Source organism: Homo sapiens, chromosome 9, assembly GCF_000001405.40.
Source record: "Homo sapiens chromosome 9, GRCh38.p14 Primary Assembly".
Classification (NCBI taxonomy): Eukaryota; Metazoa; Chordata; class Mammalia; order Primates; family Hominidae; genus Homo; species Homo sapiens.
This window is the reverse complement of record NC_000009.12, coordinates 45,492,399-45,518,558: the sequence shown is the minus strand read 5'-3', so window position 1 is coordinate 45,518,558 and position 26,160 is coordinate 45,492,399. Positions and strand designations below refer to the sequence as shown.

General features: G+C 37.4%; 1 annotated feature.

Annotated features, from left to right (window-relative positions):
- Positions 1-26,160: part of a centromere (Linear centromere model derived predominantly from reads generated in PMID: 17803354. This region does not represent an actual centromere sequence, as long-range ordering of repeats and unmapped WGS contigs is not provided by the model. For details of model production, see http://arxiv.org/abs/1307.0035.) that runs on past the window's edge.

Genomic DNA, 26,160 nt, shown 5'->3' with positions numbered 1-26,160 from the left:
TCTCTCTAGGTTTTATATGTAATCCCGTTTCCAACGAAATCCTCAAAGCTATCCAAATATCCACTTTCAGATTCCACAAAAAGAGTGTTTCAAAACTGCTCTGTAAAAAGAAAGGTTCATCTCTGTTAGTTGAATACACACATCACAAACAAGTTTCTGAGAATGCTTCTGTCTAGTTTTTATGGGAAGATATTTCCTTTTTCAACATAGGCCTCAAAGCGCTCCAAATGTCCACTTCCAGGTAGTGCAGAAAGAGTGTTTCAAACCTGCTCTATAAAAGGGAATATTCAACTCTGTGACTTGAATGCAAACATCACAAAGCACTTTCTGAGAATGCTTCCGTCTTGATTTTATATGAAGATATTCTCGTTTCCAACGAAACCTTCAAAGCTATCCAAATATCCACTAGCAGATTCTACAAAAAGAGTGTTTCCAACAATTGTTGTATCAAAACAAAGGTTCAACTCTGTTAGTTGAGAACACACATCGCAAATAAGTTTCTGAGAATGCTTCTGTCTAGTTTTTATTTGAAGATATTTCCTTTCTCACCATAGGCCTGAAAGCGCTTGAAATGTCCGTTTGCAGATACTACAGAAAGAGTGTTTCAAACATGCTCTATGAAAGGGAATGTTCAGTTCTGTGACTTGAATGCAAACATCACAAAGAAGTTCCTGAGAATGCTTCTCCCTAGATTTCATATGTAATCCCGTTTCCAACGAAATCCTCAAAGTTATCCAAATATCCACTTTCAGATTCCACAAAAAGAGTGTTTCAAAACTGCTCTGTAAAAAGAAAGGTTCATCTCTGTTAGTTGAATACACACATCACAAACAAGTTTCTGAGAATGCTTCTGTCTAGTTTTTATGGGAAGATATTACCTTTTTCATAATAGGCCTCAAAGCGCTGCAAAAGTCCACTTCCAAATATTACAAAAAGAGTGTTTCAAACCTGCTGTATGAAGGGAAGTGTTCAACTCTATGAGTTGAATGCAAACATCACAGAGAAGTTTCTGAGAATGCTTCTGTCTTGATTTTATATGAAGATATTCCCGTTTCCAACGAAACCTTCAAAGCTATCCAAATATCCACTTGCAGATTCTACAAAAAGAGTGTTTCCAAAATGTTGTATCAAAACAAAGGTTCAACTCTGTTAGTTGAGGACACACATCGCAAATAAGTTTCTGAGAATGCTTCTGTCTAGTTTTTATTTGAAGATATTTCCTTTCTTACCATAGGCCTGAAAGCGCTTGAAATGTCCGTCTGCAGATACTACAGAAAGAGTGTTTCAAACATGCTCTATGAAAGGGAATGTTCAGTTCTGTGACGTGAATGGAAACATCACAAAGAAGTTCCTGAGAATGCTTCTCTCTAGATTTTATATGTAATCCCGTTTCCAACGAAATCCTCAAAGCTATCCAAATATCCACTTTCAGATTCCACAAAAAGATTTGTTTCAAAACTGCTCTGTAAAAAGAAAGGTTCATCTCTGTTAGTTGAATACACACATCACAAACAAGTTTCTGAGAATGCTTCTGTCTAGTTTTTATGGGAAGATATTTCCTTTTTCAACATAGGCCTCAAAGCGCTCCAAACGTCCACTTCCAGGTAGTGCAGAAAGAGTGTCTCAAACCTGGTATATAACAGGGAACATTCTACTCTGTGACTTGAATGAAAACATCACAAAGCAGTTTCTGAGAATGCTTCCGTCTAGATTTTATATGAAGATATTCCCGTTTCCAACGAAACCTTCAAAGCTATCCGAATATCCACCTGCAGATTCTACAAAAAGAGTGTTTCCAAAATGCCATATCAAAACAAAGGTTCAACTCTGTTAGTTGAGAACACACATCGCAAATAAGTTTCTGAGAATGCTTCTGTCTAGTTTTTATTTGAAGATATTTCCTTTCTCACCATAGGCCTGAAAGCGTTTGAAATGTCCGTTTGCAGATACTACAGAAAGAGTGTTTCAAACATGCTCTATGAAAGGGAATGTTCAGTTCTGTGACGTGAATGCAAACATCACAAAGAAGTTCCTGAGAATGCTTCTCCCTAGATTTTATATGTAATCCCGTTTCCAACGAAATCCGCAAAGCTATCCAAATATCCACTTTCAGATTCCACAAAAAGAGTGTTTCAAAACTGCTCTGTAAAAAGAAAGGTTCATCTCTGTTAGTTGAATACACACATCACAAACAAGTTTCTGAGAATGCTTCTGTCTAGTTTTTATGGGAAGTTATTTCCTTTTTCAACATAGGCCTCAAAGCGCTCCAAATGTCCACTTCCAGGTAGTGCAGAAAGAGTGTTTCAAACCTGCTCTTTAAAAAGGGAATATTCAACTCTGTGACTTGAATGCAAACATCACAAAGCACTTTCTGAGAATGCTTCCGTCTAGATTTTATATGAAGATATTCCCGTTTCCAACGAAACCTTCAAAGCTATCCGAATATCCACCTGCAGATTCTACAAAAAGAGTGTTTCCAAAATGCCGTATCAAAACAAAGGTTCAACTCTGTTAGTTGAGAACACACATGGCAAATAAGTTTCTGAGAATGCTTCTGTCTAGTTTTTATTTGAAGATATTTCCTTTCTCACCACAGGCCTGAAAGCGCTTAAAACGTCCGCTTGCAGATACTACAGAAAGAGTGTTTCAAACCTGCTCTATGAAAGGGAATGTTCAGTTCTGTGACTTGAATGCAAACATCACAAAGAAGTTCCTGAGAATGCTTCTCTCTAGGTTTTATATGTAATCCCGTTTCCAACGAAATCCTCAAAGCTATCCAAATATCCACTTTCAGATTCCACAAAAAGAGTGTTTCAAAACTGCTCTGTAAAAAGAAAGGTTCATCTCTGTTAGTTGAATACACACATCACAAACAAGTTTCTGAGAATGCTTCTGTCTAGTTTTTATGGGAAGATATTTCCTTTTTCAACATAGGCCTCAAAGCGCTCCAAATGTCCACTTCCAGGTAGTGCAGAAAGAGTGTTTCAAACCTGCTCTATAAAAGGGAATATTCAACTCTGTGACTTGAATGCAAACATCACAAAGCACTTTCTGAGAATGCTTCTGTCTTGATTTTATATGAAGATATTCCCGTTTCCAACGAAACCTTCAAAGCTATTCAAATATCCACTTGCAGATTCTACAAAAAGAGTGTTTCCAAAATGTTGTATCAAAAGAAAGGTTCAACTCTGTTAGTTGAGGACACACATCGCAAATAAGTTTCTGAGAATGCTTCTGTCTAGTTTTTACTTGAAGATATTTCCTTTCTCACCATAGGCCTGAAAGCGTTTGAAATGTCCGTTTGCAGATACTACAGAAAGAGTGTTTCAAACATGCTCTATGAAAGGGAATGTTCAGTTCTGTGACGTGAATGCAAACATCACAAAGAAGTTCCTGAGAATGCTTCTCTCTAGATTTTATATGTAATCCCGTTTCCAACGAAATCCTCAAAGCTATCCAAATATCCACTTCCAGATTCCACAAAAAGAGTGTTTCAAAACTGCTCTGTAAAAAGAAAGGTTCATCTCTGTTAGTGGAATACACACATCACAAACAAGTTTCTGAGAATGCTTCTGTCTAGTTTTTATGGGAAGATATTTCCTTTTTCATCATAGGCCTCAAAGCGCTGTAAATGTCCACTTCCAAATATTACAAAAAGAGGGTTTCAAACCTGCTGTATGAAGGGAAGTGTTCAACTCTATGAGTTGAATGCAAACATCACAGAGAAGTTTCTGAGAATGCTTCTGTCTTGATTTTATATGAAGATATTCCCGTTTCCAACGAAACCTTCAAAGCTATTCAAATATCCACTTGCAGATTCTACAAAAAGAGTGTTTCCAAAATGTTGTATCAAAAGAAAGGTTCAACTCTGTTAGTTGAGGACACACATCGCAAATAAGTTTCTGAGAATGCTTCTGTCTAGTTTTTATTTGAAGATAATTCCTTTCTCACCATAGGCCTGAAAGCGCTTGAAATGTCCGCTTGCAGATACTACAGAAACAGTGTTTCAAACATGCTCTATGAAAGGGAATGTTCAGTTCTGTGACTTGAATGCAAACATCACAAAGAAATTCCTGAGAATGCTTCTCTCTAGATTTTATATGTAATCCCGTTTCCAACGAAATCCTCAAAGCTATCCAAATATGCACTTTCAGATTCCACAAAAAGAGTGTTTCAAAACTGCTCTGTAAAAAAAAAGGTTCATCTCTGTTAGTTGAATACACACATCACAAACAAGTTTCTGAGAATGCTTCTGTCTAGTTTTTATGGGAAGATATTTCCTTTTTCATCATAGGCCTCAAAGCGCTCCAAATGTCCACTTCCAGATAGTGCAGAAAGAGTGTCTGAAACCCTGGTATATAAAAGGGAACATTCTACTCTGTGACTTGAATGAAAACATCACAAAGCAGTTTCTGAGAATGCTTCCGTCTAGATTTTATATGAAGATATTCCCGTTTCCAAGGAAATCTTCCTAGCTATCTAAATATCAACTTGCAGATTCTACTAAAGGAATGTTTCCAAAATGCTGTATCCACACAAAGGTTCAACTCTGTTAATTGAGGACATACAGCACAAAGAAGTTTCTGAGAATGCTTCTGTCTAGTTTTTATTTGAAGATATTTCCTTTCTCACCATAGGCCTGAAAGCGTTTGAAATGTCCGTTTGCAGATACTACAGAAAGAGTGTTTCAAACATGCTCTATGAAAGGGAATGTTCAGTTCTGTGACGTGAATGCAAACATCACAAAGAAGTTCCTGAGAATGCTTCTCTCTAGATTTTATATGTAATCCCGTTTCCAACGAAATCCTCAAAGCTATCCAAATATCCACTTTCAGATTCCACAAAAAGAGTGTTTCAAAACTGCTCTGTAAAAAGAAAGGTTCATCTCTGTTAGTTGAATACACACATCAAAAACAAGTTTCTGAGAATGCTTCTGTCTAGTTTTTATGGGAAGATATTTCCTTTTTCAGCATAGGCCTCAAAGCGCTCCAAATGTCCACTTCCAGGTAGTGCAGAAAGAGTGTCTCAAACCTGGTATATAACAGGGAACATTCTACTCTGTGACTTGAATGAAAACATCACAAAGCAGTTTCTGAGAATGCTTCTGTCTTGATTTTATATGAAGATATTCCCGTTTCCAACGAAACCTTCAAAGCTATTCAAATATCCACTTGCAGATTCTACAAAAAGAGTGTTTCCAAAATGTTGTATCAAAAGAAAGGTTCAACTCTGTTAGTTGAGGACACACATCGCAAATAAGTTTCTGAGAATGCTTCTGTCTAGTTTTTATTTGAAGATATTTCCTTTCTCACCATAGGCCTGAAAGCGTTTGAAATGTCCGTTTGCAGATACTACAGAAAGAGTGTTTCAAACATGCTCTATGAAAGGGAATGTTCAGTTCTGTGACGTGAATGCAAACATCACAAAGAAGTTCCTGAGAATGCTTCTCTCTAGATTTTATATGTAATCCCGTTTCCAACGAAATCCTCAAAGCTATCCAAATATCCACTTTCAGATTCCACAAAAAGTGTTTCAAAACTGCTCTGTAAAAAGAAAGGTTCATCTCTGTTAGTTGAATACACACATCACAAACAAGTTTCTGAGAATGCTTCTGTCTAGTTTTTATGGGAAGATATTTCCTTTTTCAACATAGGCCTCAAAGCGCTCCAAACGTCCACTTCCAGGTAGTGCAGAAAGAGTGTCTCAAACCTGGTATATAACAGGGAACATTCTACTCTGTGACTTGAATGAAAACATCACAAAGCAGTTTCTGAGAATGCTTCCGTCTAGATTTTATATGAAGATATTCCCGTTTCCAACGAAACCTTCAAAGCTATCCGAATATCCACCTGCAGATTCTACAAAAAGAGTGTTTCCAAAATGCCGTATCAAAACATAGGTTCAACTCTGTTAGTTGAGAACACACATGGCAAATAAGTTTCTGAGAATGCTTCTGTCTAGTTTTTATTTGAAGATATTTCCTTTCTCACCACAGGCCTGAAAGCGCTTAAAACGTCCGCTTGCAGATACTACAGAAAGAGTGTTTCAAACCTGCTCTATGAAAGGGAATGTTCAGTTCTGTGACTTGAATGCAAACATCACAAAGAAGTTCCTGAGAATGCTTCTCTCTAGGTTTTATATGTAATCCCGTTTCCAACGAAATCCTCAAAGCTATCCAAATATCCACTTTCAGATTCCACAAAAAGAGTGTTTCAAAACTGCTCTGTAAAAAGAAAGGTTCATCTCTGTTAGTTGAATACACACATCACAAACAAGTTTCTGAGAATGCTTCTGTCTAGTTTTTATGGGAAGATATTTCCTTTTTCATCATAGGCCTCAAAGCGCTCCAAATGTCCACTTCCAGGTAGTGCAGAAAGAGTGTCTCAAACCTGGTATATAACAGGGAACATTCTACTCTGTGACTTGAATGAAAACATCACAAAGCAGTTTCTGAGAATGCTTCCGTCTAGATTTTATATGAAGATATTCCCGTTTCCAACGAAACCTTCAAAGCTATCCGAATATCCACCTGCAGATTCTACAAAAAGAGTGTTTCCAAAATGCCATATCAAAACAAAGGTTCAACTCTGTTAGTTGAGAACACACATCGCAAATAAGTTTCTGAGAATGCTTCTGTCTAGTTTTTATTTGAAGATATTTCCTTTCTCACCATAGGCCTGAAAGCGTTTGAAATGTCCGTTTGCAGATACTACAGAAAGAGTGTTTCAAACATGCTCTATGAAAGGGAATGTTCAGTTCTGTGACGTGAATGCAAACATCACAAAGAAGTTCCTGAGAATGCTTCTCTCTAGGTTTTATATGTAATCCCGTTTCCAACGAAATCCTCAAAGCTATCCAAATATCCACTTTCAGATTCCACAAAAAGAGTGTTTCAAAACTGCTCTGTAAAAAGAAAGGTTCATCTCTGTTAGTTGAATACACACATCACAAACAAGTTTCTGAGAATGCTTCTGTCTAGTTTTTATGGGAAGATATTACCTTTTTCATCATAGGCCTCAAAGCGCTGCAAATGTCCACTTCCAAATATTACAAAAAGAGTGTTTCAAACCTGCTGTATGAAGGGAAGTGTTCAACTCTATGAGTTGAATGCAAACATCACAGAGAAGTTTCTGAGAATGCTTCTGTCTTGATTTTATATGAAGATATTCCCGTTTCCAACGAAATCTTCAAAGCTATCCAAATATCCACTTGCAGATTCCACAAAAAGAGTGTTTCCAAAATGTTGTATCAAAAGAAAGGTTCAACTCTGTTAGTTGAGGACACACATCGCAAATAAGTTTCTGAGAATGCTTCTGTCTAGTTTTTACTTGAAGATATTTCCTTTCTCACCATAGGCCTGAAAGCGTTTGAAATGTCCGTTTGCAGATACTACAGAAAGAGTGTTTCAAACATGCTCTATGAAAGGGAATGTTCAGTTCTGTGACGTGAATGCAAACATCACAAAGAAGTTCCTGAGAATGCTTCTAGTCTAGATTTTATATGAAGATATCCCGTGTCCAACGAAATCCTCAAAGGTATCAAAATATCCACTTGCAGATTCTACAAAAAGAGTGCTTCAAAACTGCTCTGTCAAAAGGAAGGTTCAACTCTGTTACTTGAGTACACACATCACAAGGAAGTTTCTGAGAATGCTTCTGTCTGGTTTTTAGGAGAAGATATCTCCTTTTTCACCATAGGCTTCAAAGCGCTGCCAATGTCCACTTCCAAATATTACAAAAAGAGTATTTCAAACCAGCTCTATGAAAGGAAGTGTTCAACTCTATGAGTTGAATGCAAACATCACAGAGAAGTTTCTGAGAATGCTTCTGTGTTGATTTTATATGAAGATATTCCCCTTTCCAACGAAACCTTCAAACCTATCCAAATATCCACCTGCAGATCCTACAAAAAGAGTGTTTCCAAAATGCTGTATCAAAACAAAGGTTCAACTCTGTTAGTTGAGAACACACATGGCAAATAAGTTTCTGAGAATGCTTCTGTCTAGTTTTTATTTGAAGATATTTCCTTTCTCACCATAGGCCTGAAAGCGTATGAAATGTCCGTTTGCAGATACTACAGAAAGAGTGTTTCAAACATACTCTATGAAAGGGAATGTTCAGTTCTGTGACTTGAATGCAAACATCACAAAGAAGTTCCTGAGAATGCTTCTCTCTAGATTTTATATGTAATCCCGTTTCCAACGAAATCCTCAAAGCTATCCAAATATCCACTTTCAGATTCCACAAAAAGAGTGTTTCAAAACTGCTCTGTAAAAAGAAAGGTTCATCTCTGTTAGTTGAATACACACATCACAAACAAGTTTCTCAGAATGCTTCTGTCTAGTTTTTATGGGAAGATATTTCCTTTTTCATCATAGGCCTCAAAGCGCTGCAAATGTCCACTTCCAGGTAGTGCAGAAAGAGTGTCTCAAACCTGGTATATAACAGGGAACATTCTACTCTGTGACTTGAATGAAAACATCACAAAGCAGTTTCTCAGAATGCTTCCGTCTAGATTTTATATGAAGATATTCCCGTTTCCAACGAAACCTTCAAAGCTATCCGAATATCCACCTGCAGATTCTACAAAAAGAGTGTTTCCAAAATGCCGTATCAAAACAAAGGTTCAACTCTGTTAGTTGAGAACACACATGGCAAATAAGTTTCTGAGAATGCTTCTGTCTAGTTTTTACTTGAAGATATTTCCTTTCTCACCATAGGCCTGAAAGCGCTTGAAACGTCAGCTTGCAGATACTACAGAAAGAGTGTTTCAAACCTGCTCTATGAAAGGGAATGTTCAGTCCTGTGACTTGAATGCAAACATCACAAAGAAGTTCCTGAGAATGCTTCTCCCTAGATTTTATATGTAATCCCGTTTCCAACGAAATCCTCAAAGCTATCCAAATATCCACTTTCAGATTCCACAAAAAGAGTGTTTCAAAACTGCTCTGTAAAAAGAAAGGTTCATCTCTGTTAGTTGAATACACACATCACAAACAAGTTTCTGAGAATGCTTCTGTCTAGTTTTTATGGGAAGATATTTCCTTTGTCATCATAGGCCTCAAAGCGCTGCAAATGTCCACTTCCAGGTAGTGCAGAAAGAGTGTGTCAAACCTGGTATATAACAGGGAACATTCTACTCTGTGACTTGAATGAAAACATCACAAAGCAGTTTCTGAGAATGCTTCCGTCTAGATTTTATATGAAGATACTCCCGTTTCCAACGAAACCTTCAAAGCTATCCGAATATCCACCTGCAGATTCTACAAAAAGAGTGTTTCCAAAATGCCGTATCAAAACAAAGGTTCAACTCTGTTAGTTGAGAACACACATGGCAAATAAGTTTCTGAGAATGCTTCTGTCTAGTTTTTACTTGAAGATATTTCCTTTCTCACCATAGGCCTGAAAGCGCTTGAAACGTCAGCTTGCAGATACTACAGAAAGAGTGTTTCAAACCTGCTCTATGAAAGGGAATGTTCAGTTCTGTGACTTGAATGCAAACATCACAAAGAAGTTCCTGAGAATGCTTCTCTCTAGGTTTTATATGTAATCCCGTTTCCAACGAAATCCTCAAAGCTATCCAAATATCCACTTTCAGATTCCACAAAAAGAGTGTTTCAAAACTGCTCTGTAAAAAGAAAGGTTCATCTCTGTTAGTTGAATACACACATCACAAACAAGTTTCTGAGAATGCTTCTGTCTAGTTTTTATGGGAAGATATTTCCTTTTTCAACATAGGCCTCAAAGCGCTCCAAATGTCCACTTCCAGGTAGTGCAGAAAGAGTGTTTCAAACCTGCTCTATAAAAGGGAATATTCAACTCTGTGACTTGAATGCAAACATCACAAAGCACTTTCTGAGAATGCTTCTGTCTTGATTTCATATGAAGATATTCCCGTTTCCAACGAAACCTTCAAAGTTATCCAAATATCCACTTGCAGATTCTACAAAAAGAGTGTTTCCAAAATGTTGTATCAAAAGAAAGGTTCAACTCTGTTAGTTGAGGACACACATCGCAAATAAGTCTCTGAGAATGCTTCTGTCTAGTTTTTATTTGAAGATATTTCCTTTCTCACCACAGGCCTGAAAGCGCTTAAAACGTCCGCTTGCAGATACTACAGAAAGAGTGTTTCAAACCTGCTCTATGAAAGGGAATGTTCAGTTCTGTGACTTGAATGCAAACATCACAAAGAAGTTCCTGAGAGTGCTTCTCCCTAGATTTTATATGTAATCCCGTTTCCAACGAAATCCGCAAAGCTATCCAAATATCCACTTTCAGATTCCACAAAAAGAGTGTTTCAAAACTGCTCTGTAAAAAGAAAGGTTCATCTCTGTTAGTTGAATACACACATCACAAACAAGTTTCTGAGAATGCTTCTGTCTAGTTTTTATGGGAAGATATTTCCTTTTTCATCATAGGCCTCAAAGCGCTGCAAATGTCCACTTCCAGGTAGTGCAGAAAGAGTGTCTCAAACCTGGTATATAACAGGGAACATTCTACTCTGTGACTTGAATGAAAACATCACAAAGCAGTTTCTGAGAATGCTTCTGTCTTGATTTTATATGAAGATATTCCCGTTTCCAACGAAACCTTCAAAGCTATCCAAATATCCACTTGCAGATTCTACAAAAAGAGTGGTTCCAAAATGTTGTATCAAAAGAAAGGTTCAACTCTGTTAGTTGAGGACACACATCGCAAATAAGTTTCTGAGAATGCTTCTGTCTAGTTTTTATTTGAAGATATTTCCTTTCTCAACATAGGCCTGAAAGCGTTTGAAATGTCCGTTTGCAGATACTACAGAAAGAGTGTTTCAAACATGCTCTATGAAAGGGAATGTTCAGTTCTGTGACGTGAATGCAAACATCACAAAGAAGTTCCTGAGAATGCTTCTCTCTAGGTTTTATATGTAATCCCGTTTCCAACGAAATCCTCAAAGCTATCCAAATATCCACTTTCAGATTCCACAAAAAGAGTGTTTCAAAACTGCTCTGTAAAAAGAAAGGTTCATCTCTGTTAGTTGAATACACACATCACAAACAAGTTTCTGAGAATGCTTCTGTCTAGTTTTTATGGGAAGATATTTCCTTTTTCAACATAGGCCTCAAAGCGCTCCAAATGTCCACTTCCAGGTAGTGCAGAAAGAGTGTTTCAAACCTGCTCTATAAAAGGGAATATTCAACTCTGTGACTTGAATGCAAACATCACAAAGCACTTTCTGAGAATGCTTCCGTCTAGATTTTATATGAAGATATTCCCGTTTCCAACGAAACCTTCAAAGCTATCCGAATATTCACCTGCAGATTCTACAAAAAGAGTGTTTCCAAAATGCCGTATCAAAACAAAGGTTCAACTCTGTTAGTTGAGAACACACATGGCAAATAAGTTTCTGAGAATGCTTCTGTCTAGTTTTTATTTGAAGATATTTCCTTTCTCACCATAGGCCTGAAAGCGTTTGAAATGTCCGTTTGCAGATACTACAGAAAGAGTGTTTCAAACATGCTCTATGAAAGGGAATGTTCAGTTCTGTGACGTGAATGCAAACATCACAAAGACGTTCCTCAGAATGCTTCTCCCTAGATTTTATATGTAATCCCGTTTCCAACGAAATCCGCAAAGGTATCCAAATATCCACTTTCAGATTCCACAAAAAGAGTGTTTCAAAACTGCTCTGTAAAAAGAAAGGTTCATCTCTGTTAGTTGAATACACACATCACAAACAAGTTTCTGAGAATGCTTCTGTCTAGTTTTTATGGGAAGATATTTCCTTTTTCAACATAGGCCTCAAAGCGCTCCAAATGTCCACTTCCAGGTAGTGCAGAAAGAGTGTTTCAAACCTGCTCTATAAAAGGGAATATTCAACTCTGTGACTTGAATGCAAACATCACAAAGCACTTTCTGAGAATGCTTCCGTCTAGATTTTATATGAAGATATTCCCGTTTCCAACGAAACCTTCAAAGCTATCCGAATATCCACCTGCAGATTCTACAAAAAGAGTGTTTCCAAAATGCCGTATCAAAACAAAGGTTCAACTCTGTTAGTTGAGAACACACATGGCAAATAAGTTTCTGAGAATGCTTCTGTCTAGTTTTTACTTGAAGATATTTCCTTTCTCACCATAGGCCTGAAAGCGCTTGAAACGTCCGCTTGCAGATACTACAGAAAGAGTGTTTCAAACATGCTCAATGAAAGGGAATGTTCAGTTCTGTGACTTGAATGCAAACATCACAAAGAAGTTCCTGAGAATGCTTCTCTCTAGATTTTATATGTAATCCCGTTTCCAACGAAATCCTCAAAGCTATCCAAATATCCACTTTCAGATTCCACAAAAAGAGTGTTTCAAAACTGCTCTGTAAAAAGAAAGGTTCATCTCTGTTAGTTGAATACACACATCACAAACAAGTTTCTGAGAATGCTTCTGTCTAGTTTTTATGGGAAGATATTTCCTTTTTCAACATAGGCCTCAAAGCGCTCCAAACGTCCACTTCCAGGTAGTGCAGAAAGAGTGTCTCAAACCTGGTATATAACAGGGAACATTCTACTCTGTGACTTGAATGAAAACATCACAAAGCAGTTTCTGAGAATGCTTCTGTCTTGATTTTATATGAAGATATTCCCGTTTCCAACGAAACCTTCAAAGCTATTCAAATATCCACTTGCAGATTCTACAAAAAGAGTGTTTCCAAAATGTTGTATCAAAAGAAAGGTTCAACTCTGTTAGTTGAGGACACACATCGCAAATAAGTTTCTGAGAATGCTTCTGTCTAGTTTTTATTTGAAGATATTTCCTTTTTCACCACAGGCCTGAAAGCGCTTGAAACGTCCGCTTGCAGATACTACAGAAAGAGTGTTTCAAAGCTGCTCTATGAAAGGGAATGTTCAGTTCTGTGACTTGAATGCAAACATCACAAAGAAGTTCCTGAGAATGCTTCTCTCTAGGTTTTATATGTAATCCCGTTTCCAACGAAATCCTCAAAGCTATCCAAATATCCACTTTCAGATTCCACAAAAAGAGTGTTTCAAAACTGCTCTGTAAAAAGAAAGGTTCATCTCTGTTAGTTGAATACACACATCACAAACAAGTTTCTGAGAATGCTTCTGTCTAGTTTTTATGGGAAGATATTACCTTTTTCATCATAGGCCTCAAAGCGCTGCAAATGTCCACTTCCAAATATTACAAAAAGAGTGTTTCAAACCTGCTGTATGAAGGGAAGTGTTCAACTCTATGAGTTGAATGCAAACATCACAGAGAAGTTTCTGAGAATGCTTCTGTCTTGATTTTATATGAAGATATTCCCGTTTCCAACGAAACCTTCAAAGCTATCCAAATATCCACTTGCAGATTCTACAAAAAGAGTGTTTCCAAAATGTTGTATCAAAACAAAGGTTCAACTCTGTTAGTTGAGGACACACATCGCAAATAAGTTTCTGAGAATGCTTCTGTCTAGTTTTTATTTGAAGATATTTCCTTTCTTACCATAGGCCTGAAAGCGCTTGAAATCTCCGTTTGCAGATACTACAGAAAGAGTGTTTCAAACATGCTCTATGAAAGGGAATGTTCAGTTCTGTGACTTGAATGCAAACATCACAAAGAAGTTCCTGAGAATGCTTCTCTCTAGATTTTATATGTAATCCCGTTTCCAACGAAATCCTCAAAGCTATCCAAATATCCACTTTCAGATTCCACAAAAAGAGTGTTTCAAAACTGCTCTGTAAAAAGTAAGGTTCATCTCTGTTAGTTGAATACACACATCACAAACAAGTTTCTGAGAATGCTTCCGTCTATATTTTATGTGAAGATATTCCCGTTTCCAAGGAAATCTTCCTAGCTATCTATATATCAACTAGCAGATTCTACTAAAGGAGTGTTTCCAAAATGCTGTATCCACACAAAGGTTCAACTCTGTTAATTGAGGACATACAGCACAAAGAAGTTTCTGAGAATGCTTCCGTCTAGATTTTATATGAAGATATTCCCGTTTCCAACGAAACCTTCAATGCTATCCGAATATCCACCTGCAGATTCTACAAAAAGAGTGTTTCCAAAATGCCGTATCAAAACAAAGGTTCAACTCCTGTTAGTTGAGAACACACATGGCAAATAAGTTTCCTGAGAATGCTTCTGTCTAGTTTTTACTTGAAGATATTTCCTTTCTCACCATAGGCCTGAAAGCGCTTGAAACGTCAGCTTGCAGATACTACAGAAAGAGTGTTTCAAACCTGCTCTATGAAAGGGAATGTTCAGTCCTGTGACTTGAATGCAAACATCAAAAAGAAGTTCCTGAGAATGCTTCTCTGTAGGTTTTATATGTAATCCCGTTTCCAACGAAATCCTGAAAGCTATCCAAATATCCACTTTCAGATTCCACAAAAAGAGTGTTTCAAAACTGCTCTGTAAAAAGAAAGGTTCATCTCTGTTAGTTGAATACACACATCACAAACAAGTTTCTGAGAATGCTTCTGTCTAGTTTTTATGGGAAGATATTTCCTTTTTCAACATAGGCCTCAAAGCGCTCCAAACGTCCACTTCCAGGTAGTGCAGAAAGAGTGTCTCAAACCTGGTATATAACAGGGAACATTCTACTCTGTGACTTGAATGAAAACATCACAAAGCAGTTTCTGAGAATGCTTCTGTCTTGATTTCATATGAAGATATTCCCGTTTCCAACGAAACCTTCAAAGCTATCCAAATATCCACTTGCAGATTCTACAAAAAGAGTGTTTCCAAAATGTTGTATCAAAAGAAAGGTTCAACTCTGTTAGTTGAGGACACACATCGCAAATAAGTTTCTGAGAATGCTTCTGTCTAGGTTTTATTTGAAGATATTTCCTTTTTCACCACAGGCCTGAAAGCGCTTGAAACGTCCACTTGCAGATACTACAGAAAGAGTGTTTCAAACCTGCTCTATGAAAGGGAATGTTCAGTTCTGTGACTTGAATGCAAACATCACAAAGAAGTTCCTGAGAATGCTTCTCCCTAGATTTTATATGTAATCCCGTTTCCAACGAAATCCGCAAAGCTATCCAAATATCCACTTTCAGATTCCACAAAAAGAGTGTTTCAAAACGACTCTGTAAAAAGAAAGGTTCATCTCTGTTAGTTGAATACACACATCAGAAACAAGTTTCTGAGAATGCTTCTGTCTAGTTTTTATGGGAAGATATTTCCTTTTTCATCATAGGCCTCAAAGCGCTGCAAATGTCCACTTCCAGGTAGTGCAGAAAGAGTGTCTCAAACCTGGTATATAACAGGGAACATTCTACTCTGTGACTTGAATGAAAACATCACAAAGCAGTTTCTGAGAATGCTTCTGTCTTGATTTTATATGAAGATATTCCCGTTTCCAACGAAACCTTCAAAGCTATCCAAATATCCACTTGCAGATTCTACAAAAAGAGTGTTTCCAAAGTGCTGTATCCAAACAAAGGTTCAACTCTTTTAGTTGAGAACACACATCGCAAATAAGTTTCTGAGAATGCTTCTGTCTAGTTTTTATTTGAAGATATTTCCTTTTTCACCACAGGCCTCTAAGCGCTTGAAACGTCCGCTTGCAGATACTACAGAAAGAGTGTTTCAAACCTGCTCTATGAAAGGGAATGTTCAGTTCTGTGACTTGAATGCAAACATCACAAAGAAGTTCCTGAGAATGCTTCTCTCTAGATTTTATATGTAATCCCGTTTCCAACGAAATCCTCAAAGCTATCCAAATATCCACTTTCAGATTCCACAAAAAGAGTGTTTCAAAACTGCTCTGTAAAAAGAAAGGTTCATCTCTGTTAGTTGAATACACACATCACAAACAAGTTTCTGAGAATGCTTCTGTCTAGTTTTTATGGGAAGATATTTCCTTTTTCAACATAGGCCTCAAAGCGCTCCAAATGTCCACTTCCAGGTAGTGCAGAAAGAGTGTTTCAAACCTGCTCTATAAAAGGGAATATTCAACTCTGTGACTTGAATGCAAACATCACAAAGCACTTTCTGAGAATGCTTCCGTCTAGATTTTATATGAAGGTATTCCCGTTTCCAACGAAACCTTCAAAGCTATCCGAAAATCCACCTGCAGATTCTACAAAAAGAGTGTTTCCAAAATGCCGTATCAAAACAAAGGTTCAACTCTGTTAGTTGAGAACACACATGGCAAATAAGCTTCTGAGAATGCTTCTGTCTAGTTTTTATTTGAAGATATTTCCTTTCTTACCATAGGCCTGAAAGCGCTTGAAATGTCCGTTTGCAGATACTACAGAAAGAGTGTTTCAAACATGCTCTATGAAAGGGAATGTTCAGTTCTGTGACTTGAATGCAAACATCACAAAGAAGTTCCTGAGAATGCTTCTCTCTAGATTTTATATGTAATCCCGTTTCCAACGAAATCCTCAAAGATATCCAAATATCCACTTTCAGATTCCACAAAAAGAGTGTTTCAAAACTGCTCTGTAAAAAGAAAGGTTCATCACTGTTAGTTGAATACACACATCACAAACAAGTTTCTGAGAATGCTTCTGTCTAGTTTTTATGGGAAGATATTACCTTTTTCATCATAGGCCTCAAAGCGCTGCAAATGTCCACTTCCAAATATTACAAAAAGAGTGTTTCAAACCTGCTGTATGAAGGGAAGTGTTCAACTCTATGAGTTGAATGCAAACATCACAGAGAAGTTTCTGAGAATGCTTCTGTCTTGATTTTATATGAAGATATTCCCGTTTCCAACGAAACCTTCAAAGCTATCCAAATATCCACTTGCAGATTCTTCAAAAAGAGTGTTTCCAAAATGTTGTATCAAAAGAAAGGTTCAACTCTGTTAGTTGAGGACACACATCGCAAATAAGTTTCTGAGAATGCTTCTGTCTAGTTTTTATTTGAAGATATTTCCTTTCTCACCACAGGCCTGAAAGCGCTTAAAACGTCCGCTTGCAGATACTACAGAAAGAGTGTTTCAAACCTGCTCTATGAAAGGGAATGTTCAGTTCTGTGACTTGAATGCAAACATCACAAAGAAGTTCCTGAGAATGCTTCTCTCTAGATTTTATATGTAATCCCGTTTTCAACGAAATCCTCAAAGCTATCCAAATATCCACTTTCAGATTCCACAAAAAGAGTGTTTCAAAACTGCTCTGTAAAAAGAAAGGTTCATCTCTGTTAGTTGAATACACACATCACAAACAAGTTTCTGAGAATGCTTCTGTCTAGTTTTTATGGGAAGATATTTCCTTTTTCAACATAGGCCTCAAAGCGCTCCAAATGTCCACTTCCAGGTAGTGCAGAAAGAGTGTTTCAAACCTGCTCTATAAAACGGAATATTCAACTCTGTGACTTGAATGCAAACATCACAAAGCACTTTCTGAGAATTCTTCTGTCTTGATTTCATATGAAGATATTCCCGTTTCCAACGAAACCTTCAAAGCTATCCAAATATCCACTTGCAGATTCTACAAAAAGAGTGTTTCCAAAATGTTGTATCAAAAGAAAGGTTCAACTCTGTTAGTTGAGGACACACATCGCAAATAAGTTTCTGAGAATGTTTCTGTCTAGTTTTTATTTGAAGATATTTCCTTTCTCACCATAGGCCTGAAAGCGTTTGAAATGTCCGTTTGCAGATACTACAGAAAGAGTGTTTCAAACATGCTCTATGAAAGGGAATGTTCAGTTCTGTGACGTGAATGCAAACATCACAAAGAAGTTCCTGAGAATGCTTCTCTCTAGATTTTATATGTAATCCCGTTTCCAACGAAATCCTCAAAGCTATCCAAATATCCACTTTCAGATTCCACAAAAAGAGTGTTTCAAAACTGCTCTGTAAAAAGAAAGGTTCATCTCTGTTAGTTGAATACACACATCACAAACAAGTTTCTGAGAATGCTTCTGTCTAGTTTTTATGGGAAGATATTTCCTTTTTCAACATAGGCCTCAAAGCGCTCCAAATGTCCACTTCCAGGTAGTGCAGAAAGAGTGTTTCAAACCTGCTCTATAAAAGGGAATATTCAACTCTGTGACTTGAATGCAAACATCACAAAGCACTTTCTGAGAATGCTTCCGTCTAGATTTTATATGAAGATATTCCCGTTTCCAAGGAAATCTTCCTAGCTATCTAAATATCAACTTGCAGATTCTACTAAAGGAATGTTTCCAAAATGCTGTATCCACACAAAGGTTCAACTCTGTTAACTGAGGACATACAGCACAAAGAAGTTTCTGAGAATGCTTCTGTCTAGATTTTATATGAAGATATCCCGTGTCTAACGAAATCCTCAAAGGTATCAAAATATCCACTTGCAGATTCTACAAAAAGAGTGCTTCAAAACTGCTCTGTCAAAATGAAGGTTCACCTCTGTTACTTGAGTACACACATCACGAGAAAGATTCTGAGAATGCTTCTCTCTAGGTTTTATATGTAATCCCGTTTCCAACGAAATCCTCAAAGCTATCCAAATATCCACTTTCAGATTCCACAAAAAGAGTGTTTCAAAACTGCTCTGTAAAAAGAAAGGTTCATCTCTGTTAGTTGAATACACACATCACAAACAAGTTTCTGAGAATGCTTCTGTCTAGTTTTTATGGGAAGATATTTCCTTTTTCAACATAGGCCTCAAAGCGCTCCAAACGTCCACTTCCAGGTAGTGCAGAAAGAGTGTCTCAAACCTGGTATATAACAGGGAACATTCTACACTGTGACTTGAATGAAAACATCACAAAGCAGTTTCTGAGAATGCTTCCGTCTAGATTTTATATGAAGATATTCCCGTTTCCAACGAAACCTTCAAAGCTATCCGAATATCCACCTGCAGATTCTACAAAAAGAGTGTTTCCAAAATGCCGTATCAAAACAAAGGTTCAACTCTGTTAGTTGAGAACACACATGGCAAATAAGTTTCTGACAATGTTTCTGTCTAGTTTTTATTTGAAGATATTTCCTTTTTCACCACAGGCCTGAAAGCGCTTGAAACGTCCACTTGCAGATACTACAGAAAGAGTGTTTCAAACCTGCTCTATGAAAGGGAATGTTCAGTTCTGTGACTTGAATGCAAACATCACAAAGAAGTTCCTGAGAATGCTTCTCTCTAGATTTTATATGTAATCCCGTTTCCAACGAAATCCTCAAAGCTATCCAAATATCCACTTTCAGATTCCACAAAAAGAGTGATTCAAAACTGCTCTGTAAAAAGAAAGGTTCATCTCTGTTAGTTGAATACACACATCACAAACAAGTTTCTGAGAATGCTTCTGTCTAGTTTTTATGGGAAGATATTTCCTTTTTCATCATAGGCCTCAAAGCGCTCCAAATGTCCACTTCCAGGTAGTGCAGAAAGAGTGTCTCAAACCTGGTATATAACAGGGAACATTCTACTCCGTGACTTGAATGAAAACATCACAAAGCAGTTTCTGAGAATGCTTCCGTCTAGATTTTATATGAAGATATTCCCGTTTCCAAGGAAATCTTCCTAGCTATCTAAATATCAACTTGCAGATTCTACTAAAGGAATGTTTCCAAAATGCTGTATCCACACAAAGGTTCAACTCTGTTAATTGAGGACATACAGCACAAAGAAGTTTCTGAGAATGCTTCTGTCTAGTTTTTATTTGAAGATATTTCCTTTCTCACCATAGGCCTGAAAGCGTTTGAAATGTCCGTTTGCAGATACTACAGAAAGAGTGTTTCAAACATGCTCTATGAAAGGGAATGTTCAGTTCTGTGACGTGAATGCAAACATCACAAAGAAGTTCCTGAGAATGCTTCTCTCTAGATTTTATATGTAATCCCGTTTCCAACGAAATCCTCAAAGCTATCCAAATATCCACTTTCAGATTCCACAAAAAGAGTGTTTCAAAACTGCTCTGTAAAAAGAAAGGTTCATCTCTGTTAGTTGAATACACACATCACAAACAAGTTTCTGAGAATGCTTCTGTCTAGTTTTTATGGGAAGATATTTCCTTTTTCATCATAGGCCTCAAAGCGCTCCAAATGTCCACTTCCAGGTAGTGCCGAAAGAGTGTCTCAAACCTGGTATATAACAGGGAACATTCTACTCTGTGACATGAATGAAAACATCACAAAGCAGTTTCTGAGAATGCTTCCGTCTAGATTTTATATGAAGATATTCCCGTTTCCAACGACACCTTCAAAGCTATCCGAATATCCACCTGCAGATTCTACAAAAAGAGTGTTTCCAAAATGCCGTATCAAAACAAAGCTTCAACTCTGTTAGTTGAGAACACACATGGCAAATAAGTTTCTGAGAATGCTTCTGTCTAGTTTTTACTTGAAGATATTTCCTTTCTCACCATAGGCCTGAAAGCGCTTGAAACGTCAGCTTGCAGATACTACAGAAAGAGTGTTTCAAACCTGCTCTATGAAAGGGAATGTTCAGTCCTGTGACTTGAAGGCAAACATCACAAAGAAGTTCCTGAGAATGCTTCTCTCTAGATTTTATATGTAATCCCGTTTCCAACGAAATCCTCAAAGCTATCCAAATATCCACTTTCAGATTCCACAAAAAGAGTGTTTCAAAACTGCTCTGTAAAAAGAAAGGTTCATCTCTGTTAGTTGAATACACACATCACAAACAAGTTTCTGAGAATGCTTCTGTCTAGTTTTTATGGGAAGATATTTCCTTTTTCAACATAGGCCTCAAAGCGCTCCAAACGTCCACTTCCAGGTAGTGCAGAAAGAGTGTCTCAAACCTGGTATATAACAGGGAAGATTCTACTCTGTGACTTGAATGAAAACATCACAAAGCAGTTTCTGAGAATGCTTCCGTCAAGATTTTATATGAAGATATTCCCGTTTCCAACGAAACCTTCAAAGCTATCCGAATATCCACCTGCAGATTCTACAAAAAGAGTGTTTCCAAAATGCCGTATCAAAACAAAGGTTCAACTCTGTTAGTTGAGAACACACATGGCAAATAAGTTTCGGAGAATGCTTCTGTCTAGTTTTTACTTGAAGATATTTCCTTTCTCACCATAGGCCTGAAAGCGCTTGAAACGTCAGCTTGCAGATACTACAGAAAGAGTGTTTCAAACCTGCTCTATGAAAGGGAATGTTCAGTTCTGTGACTTGAATGCAAACATCACAAAGAAGTTCCTGAGAATGCTTCTCTCTAGATTTTATATGTAATCCCGTTTCCAACGAAATCCTCAAAGCTATCCAAATATCCACTTTCAGATTCCACAAAAAGAGTGTTTCAAAACTGCTCTGTAAAAACAAATGTTCATCTCTGTTAGTTGAATACACACATCACAAACAAGTTTCTGAGAATGCTTCTGTCTAGTTTTTATGGGAAGATATTTCCTTTTTCAACATAGGCCTCAAAGCGCTCCAAATGTCCACTTCCAGGTAGTGCAGAAAGAGTGTTTCAAACCTGCTCTATAAAAGGGAATATTCAACTCTGTGACTTGAATGCAAACATCACAAAGCACTTTCTGAGAATGCTTCCGTCTAGATTTTATATGAAGATATTCCCGTTTCCAACGAAACGTTCAAAGCTATCCGAATATCCACCTGCAGATTCTACAAAAAGAGTGTTTCCAAAATGCCATATCAAAACAAAGGTTCAACTCTGTTAGTTGAGAACACACATCGCAAATAAGTTTCTGAGAATGCTTCTGTCTAGTTTTTACTTGAAGATATTTCCTTTCTCACCATAGGCCTGAAAGCGCTTGAAACGTCAGCTTGCAGATACTACAGAAAGAGTGTTTCAAACCTGCTGTATGAAAGGGAATGTTCAGTTCTGTGACTTGAATGCAAACATCACAAAGAAGTTCGTGAGAATGCTTCTCCCTAGATTTTATATGTAATCCCGTTTCCAACGAAATCCGCAAAGCTATCCAAATATCCACTTTCAGATTCCACAAAAAGAGTGTTTCAAAACTGCTCTGTAAAAAGAAAGGTTCATCTCTGTTAGTTGAATACACACATCACAAACAAGTTTCTGAGAAAGCTTCTGTCTAGTTTTTATGGGAAGATATTTCCTTTTTCATCATAGGCCTCAAAGCGCTGCAAATGTCCACTTCCAGGTAGTGCAGAAAGAGTGTCTGAAACCTGGTATATAACAGGGAAGATTCTACTCTGTGACTTGAATGAAAACATCACAAAGCAGTTTCTGAGAATGCTTCCGTCTAGATTTTATATGAACATATTCCCGTTTCCAACGAAACCTTCAAAGCTATCCGAATATCCACCTGCAGATTCTACAAAAAGAGTGTTTCCAAAATGCCATATCAAAACAAAGGTTCAACTCTGTTAGTTGAGAACACACATCGCAAAGAAGTTTCTGAGAATGCTTCTGTCTAGTTTTTATTTGAAGATATTTCCTTTCTCACCACAGGCCTGAAAGCGCTTAAAACGTCCGCTTGCAGATACTACAGAAAGAGTGTTTCAAACCTGCTCTATGAAAGGGAATGTTCAGTTCTGTGACTTGAATGCAAACATCACAAAGAAGTTCCTGAGAATGCTTCTCTCTAGGTTTTATATGTAATCCCGTTTCCAACGAAATCCTCAAAGCTATCCAAATATCCACTTTCAGATTCCACAAAAAGAGTGTTTCAAAACTGCTCTGTAAAAAGAAAGGTTCATCTCTGTTAGTTGAATACACACATCACAAACAAGTTTCTGAGAATGCTTCTGTCTAGTTTTTATGGGAAGATATTACCTTTTTCATCATAGGCCTCAAAGCGCTGCAAATGTCCACTTCCAAATATTACAAAAAGAGTGTTTCAAACCTGCTGTATGAAGGGAAGTGTTCAACTCTATGAGTTGAATGCAAACATCACAGAGAAGTTTCTGAGAATGCTTCTGTCTTGATTTCATATGAAGATATTCCCGTTTCCAACGAAACCTTCAAAGCTATCCAAATATCCACTTGCAGATTCTACAAAAAGAGTGTTTCCAAAATGTTGTATCAAAAGAAAGGTTCAACTCTGTTAGTTGAGGACACACATCGCAAATAAGTTTCTGAGAATGCTTCTGTCTAGTTTTTATTTGAAGATATTTCCTTTCTCACCATAGGCCTGAAAGCGTTTGAAATGTCCGTTTGCAGATACTACAGAAAGAGTGTTTCAAACATGCTCTATGAAAGGGAATGTTCAGTTCTGTGACGTGAATGCAAACATCACAAAGAAGTTCCTGAGAATGCTTCTCCCTAGATTTTATATGTAATCCCGTTTCCAACGAAATCCGCAAAGCTATCCAAATATCCACTTTCAGATTCCACAAAAAGAGTGTTTCAAAACTGCTCTGTAAAAAGAAAGGTTCATCTCTGTTAGTTGAATACACACATCACAAACAAGTTTCTGAGAATGCTTCTGTCTAGTTTTTATGGGAAGATATTTCCTTTTTCATCATAGGCCTCAAAGCGCTCCAAATGTCCACTTCCAGATAGTGCAGAAAGAGTGTCTCAAACCTGGTATATAAAAGGGAACATTCTACTCTGTGACTGGAATGAAAACATCACAAAGCAGTTTCTGAGAATGCTTCTGTCTTGATTTCATATGAAGATATTCCCGTTTCCAACGAAACCTTCAAAGCTATCCAAATATCCACTTGCAGATTCTACAAAAAGAGTGTTTCCAAAATGTTGTATCAAAAGAAAGGTTCAACTCTGTTAGTTGAGGACACACATCGCAAATAAGTTTCTGAGAATGCTTCTGTCTAGTTTTTACTTGAAGATATTTCCTTTCTCACCATAGGCCTGAAAGCGCTTGAAACGTCAGCTTGCAGATACTACAGAAAGAGTGTTTCAAACCTGCTCTATGAAAGGGAATGTTCAGTCCTGTGACTTGAAGGCAAACATCACAAAGAAGTTCCTGAGAATGCTTCTCTCTAGATTTTATATGTAATCCCGTTTCCAACGAAATCCTCAAAGCTATCCAAATATCCACTTTCAGATTCCACAAAAAGAGTGTTTCAAAACTGCTCTGTAAAAGGAAAGGTTCATCTCTGTTAGTTGAATACACACATCACAAACAAGTTTCTGAGAATGCTTCTGTCTAGTTTTTATGGGAAGATATTTCCTTTTTCAACATAGGCCTCAAAGCGCTCCAAATGTCCACTTCCAGGTAGGGCAGAAAGAGTGTTTCAAACCTGCTCTATAAAAGGGAATATTCAACTCTGTGACTTGAATGCAAACATCACAAAGCACTTTCTGAGAATGCTTCTGTCTTGATTTTATATGAAGATATTCCCGTTTCCAACGAAACCTTCAAAGCTATCCAAATATCCAGCTGCAGATTCTACAAAAAGAATGTTTCCAAAATGCCATATCAAAACAAAGGTTCAACTCTGTTAGTTGAGAACACACATCGCAAATAAGTTTCTGAGAATGCTTCTGTCTAGTTTTTACTTGAAGATATTTCCTTTCTCACCATAGGCCTGAAAGCGCTTGAAACGTCCGCTTGCAGATACTACAGAAAGAGTGTTTCAAACATGCTCTATGAAAGGGAATGTTCAGTTCTGTGACTTGAATGCAAACATCACAAAGAAGTTCCTGAGAATGCTTCTCTCTAGGTTTTATATGTAATCCCGTTTCCAACGAAATCCTCAAAGCTATCCAAATATCCACTTTCAGATTCCACAAAAAGAGTGTTTCAAAACTGCACTGTAATAAGAAAGGTTCATCCCTGTTAGTTGAATACACACATCACAAACAAGTTTCTGAGAATGCTTCTGTCTAGTTTTTATGGGAAGATATTTCCTTTTTCAACATAGGCCTCAAAGCGCTCCAAATGTCCACTTCCAGGTAGTGCAGAAAGAGTGTTTCAAACCTGCTCTATAAAAGGGAATATTCAACTCTGTGACTTGAATGCAAACATCACAAAGCACTTTCTGAGAATGCTTCCGTCTAGATTTTATATGAAGATATTCCCGTTTCCAACGAAACCTTCAAAGCTATCCGAATATCCACCTGCAGATTCTACAAAAAGAGTGTTTCCAAAATGCCGTATCAAAACAAAGGTTCAACTCTGTTAGTTAAGAACACACATGGCAAATAAGTTTCTGAGAATGCTTCTGTCTAGTTTTTACTTGAAGATATTTCCTTTCTCACCATAGGCCTGAAAGCGCTTGAAACGTCAGCTTGCAGATACTACAGAAAGAGTGTTTCAAACCTGCTCTATGAAAGGGAATGTTCAGTTCTGTGACTTGAATGCAAACATCACAAAGAAGTTCCTGAGAATGCTTCTCTCTAGATTTTATATGTAATCCCGTTTCCAACGAAATCCTCAAAGCTATCCAAATATCCACTTTCAGATTCCACAAAAAGAGTGTTTCAAAACTGCTCTGTAAAAAGAAAGGTTCATCTCTGTTAGTTGAATACACACATCACAAACAAGTTTCTGAGAATGCTTCTGTCTAGTTTTTATGGGAAGATATTACCTTTTTCATCATAGGCCTCAAAGCGCTGCAAATGTCCACTTCCAAATATTACAAAAAGAGTGTTTCAAACCTGCTGTATGAAGGGAAGTGTTCAACTCTATGAGTTGAATGCAAACATCACAGAGAAGTTTCTGAGAATGCTTCCGTCTAGATTTTCTATGAAGATATTCCCGTTTCCAACGAAACCTTCAAAGCTATCCGAATATCCACCTGCAGATTCTACAAAAAGAGTGTTTCCAAAATGCCGTATCAAAACAAAGGTTCAACTCTGTTAGTTGAGAACACACATGGCAAATAAGTTTCTGAGAATGCTTCTGTCTAGTTTTTACTTGAAGATATTTCCTTTATCACCATAGGCCTGAAAGCGCTTGAAACGTCAGCTTGCAGATACTACAGAAAGAGTGTTTCAAACCTGCTCTATGAAAGGGAATGTTCAGTCCTGTGACTTGAAGGCAAACATCACAAAGGAGTTCCTGAGAATGCTTCTCCCTAGATTTTATATGTAATCCCGTTTCCAACGAAATCCGCAAAGCTATCCAAATATCCACTTTCAGATTCCACAAAAAGAGTGTTTCAAAACTGCTCTGTAAAAAGAAAGGTTCATCTCTGTTAGTTGAATACACACATCACAAACAAGTTTCTGAGAATGCTTCTGTCTAGTTTTTATGGGAAGATATTTCCTTTTTCAACATAGGCCTCAAAGCGCTCCAAATGTCCACTTCCAGGTAGTGCAGAAAGAGTGTTTCAAACCTGCTCTATAAAAGGGAATATTCAACTCTGTGACTTGAATGCAAAC